Raw genomic sequence first — 3208 nt, 5'->3', positions numbered from 1 at the left:
CCACAGCCAACATCATACTGAATTGAAAAAAGCTGGAAGCATTCTCCTTGAAAACTAGCACAAGACAAGGATGCCTTCTCTCACCACTCCTCTTCAACATACTATTGGAAATCCTGGCCAGAGTAATCAGGCAAGAGAGAAAAACAACGGCATCTAAATATGAAGAGAGGAAGTCAAACTATCGCTATTTGCAGATGACATGATTCTATATCTAGAAAACCACATAGCATTGGTCTAAAAGCTCCTTAATCTGATGACTCCAGCGAAGTCTCAGGATCCATAATCCAAGTACAAAAATCATTAGCATTCCTGTACAACAACAGTCAAGCCAAGAGCCAAATCTGGAACACAATCCCATTCACAATTGCCACAAAAAGAATAAAATACGTAGGAATACAACTAACTAGGGAGGTGAAAGATCTCTACATTGATAACTACAAAACACTGCTCAAAGAAATCAGAGATGACACAAACAAATAGATAAAGAAATTCATGCTCATGGATAGGAAGAATCAATATCATTAAAATGGCCACACTGTCCAAAGCAATTTAAATATTCAGTGCTATTCCTATTAAACTACCATTGAGATTCTTCACAGAACTAGAAAAAACTACTTTAAAATTTATATGAAACCAAAAAAAAGCCCAAATAGCCAAGATAATCCTAAGCAAAAGAGCAAAGCTGGAGGCATCACACTACCTGATTTCAAACTATACTACAAGGCTACAATAACCCAAACAGCATGGTACTGGTACAAAAACAGACACATAGACCAATGAAACAGAATACAGAACCCAGAGATAAGGCTATAAACCTACAACTATCTGATCTTTGACAAAGCTAACTTGAATTCTAGATAGTAAAGTCATTCTCTCCTGGAGGGGGGTGAAGCTGCAAGCCATAAAGCTTGGTTAATGTCAACAATCATATTTCTGCTATGTGTCTTAGTAGAACAGAAGCCTCCTTAGAATCAGCTTGTGCCTTGCAGTTGTTCATAATGGAACAACTACAAGATATAAATACCCCACCCAAACCCCAATGCTGACTGCACCAAACTGCTTAACTTTAGCACATGCTAGGCTAGATCAAAACAAAACAAGAACTCCTTCTTGTAAGGCTGAAAAATGGAAAGGCCAGAGAGGGTGAAGGGGACAGGAAACCTCTCCTGCCACAATAAGAGCAGAGATTGAATGAAGAGTCCCCTTATTTGAAGAGTAGTGCAGTGGTCTCAACTTCTCTCCTGCCATGTTTCTGACAGCATTGAACTCAAGGCCCAATCATAACCCTCCAGGGATTCTCTATTTATCTAAAAGGAGAAATAGCTGTAGTACACACCTTTTGAAGTACACACTTGGTTCACAATTATTCCCTTAATTGTCCTGCTGTCCAAAAGAACCATGACTGTCCCCATGACTCTATCCCATGCCCACAGACACAGTTGAGTAGATGAGGAGTAAGCACTGTACGAGGGGAGAACACGTCCTCTCAGGCCTGAAACTCATCCAGGCAGAGGAAGCCCTGCCTCTACAATACCACCAGCCTCCTTCACTCCTTCCTCCAACAGAGGAGGAGTAAGTCATCTGATTGATGAGTTCCAGATGAATACATGGGTTTGCTTGGTTCAGGCCATCCCTCTTGCCTCTTCTGGGTGCTCTCTGCTTCCAGGGAGCATTTGCTGTGCCAGTTTCCTACCACTGGGTAAAGGCTCCTGCCCCCAATTGGAATCCCACTGTTTCAGCACATTTAAACTACCTTTATTTGTAATACAGTTGATAGGGTACTTCTCCATCTCTCTATTATTTTCTCAAATGCTTTAAAATCTGGGTTGGAAAGAGGATATTTGGGTGTTATTGGGTCCTCCTAAATCTCAACAGGTGCTTAATACAACTTAGGCCAATCTAAGTCCCATCTCTGGGGGTGTGGAATTGGGGCAAAGAGCTAGATTCCATTTATCTCGGGCACTGGGCACAAACATGTCAAGTTGGGTACAGTCACATATAATTATATTTTGCCTGCTATGTTCAGGGGAAGAGGAAGCTGATCTGATGAGAAAGAGTCAGGAACAATGTGAGCACACCACACAGAGAAGCGGGGTGGAGGAGGAGTTCTGAGGGTTCTGACTGCCTTTGCATCAGCCTTTCCTGATGGCCAGGCAACTCAGCCCAGCTCATGAGATCCGTAAGACCCTGCTTATCTTGAAAATAAATGCCTCATATGGAAGTTTAGGCAAGTAGAGCTGGTTTCTGTTACTTCCCACCAAAATAATTCCTAATACCATTTGCAAAGGCCTTTTAAAGATATGCCCAGGACAAGCAATTAAAATGTATTTTTATTCCTGAAAATGCTTAGAAGTGACCTGGGTTTATGTAAAGTGAACGTGTGTGCATGTAATTCATTATAATTTGGTGCACTATAGCTGCAAATAAGAGGCTGGGAATTGCCTCGTGAGAGGTCTCACAGTTTTGAAACTATGATACCTGCTTTCTTCCAACAACCTTTAGTTGAATTCAAATTGGAGGAGAAAACTGAGATGGGTTCTCTCACCTCTCTGTTACCCTATAGAGCCAAAAGTGATCTTTTGGTCTGATTCTCAGTAATAACAATGGCATAATGACAACAATAGTATACTAATGATTATTTGTTTTATGCTTTGAAAATGCTTCAACATCCATTTTCTTATTTTGTTGCTTTTTAAACTCATACTCCCAGACAGAGGTAATTTAAGGTAGTCATTATTATTAGCTCCATTTTCCAGGGGAAGAAATTAAGGATTTAAGAAGTTAGATGACTTGTCTAGGTCTATGGGAATAGGAAATGGTAACGCTGGGGCTGAATTGAAACCTTCTGACCTGGAATGCTGTGTTTTCTACAAAATCCTGTGTTGCTAGGAAAAAGGCTTTCACAGAGCTACATAGGACTATACATCTAGAAGGAAATCATAATAGCCAGGTGCATCAAACAAAGGAATCACTTTTCTGTAAAACAAGTAGAGTTGCACTGTGTCAGAGCACAGAGAGCAATACTCAGCCTTCCAGAGCCTGCTAGTCCTCACAAAGTCTCCTGAGTGACACAGAAGTCATGTGACTACAAGTACTTAGGAGAGTGCATGCCATATCATGAGCTTCAGTAAATGTTTGGCTGAACAAATGAATGAGTAAATGAAAATGAATGAAATGGAAAGATAGAATCCATTAGAATGTAATCCAA

This window comes from Homo sapiens, chromosome 5 (genome assembly GCF_000001405.40).
Source record: "Homo sapiens chromosome 5, GRCh38.p14 Primary Assembly".
Taxonomy (NCBI): domain Eukaryota; kingdom Metazoa; phylum Chordata; class Mammalia; order Primates; family Hominidae; genus Homo; species Homo sapiens.
The sequence above is the reverse complement of the archived record's forward strand: the minus strand, read 5'-3'. Positions refer to the sequence as shown.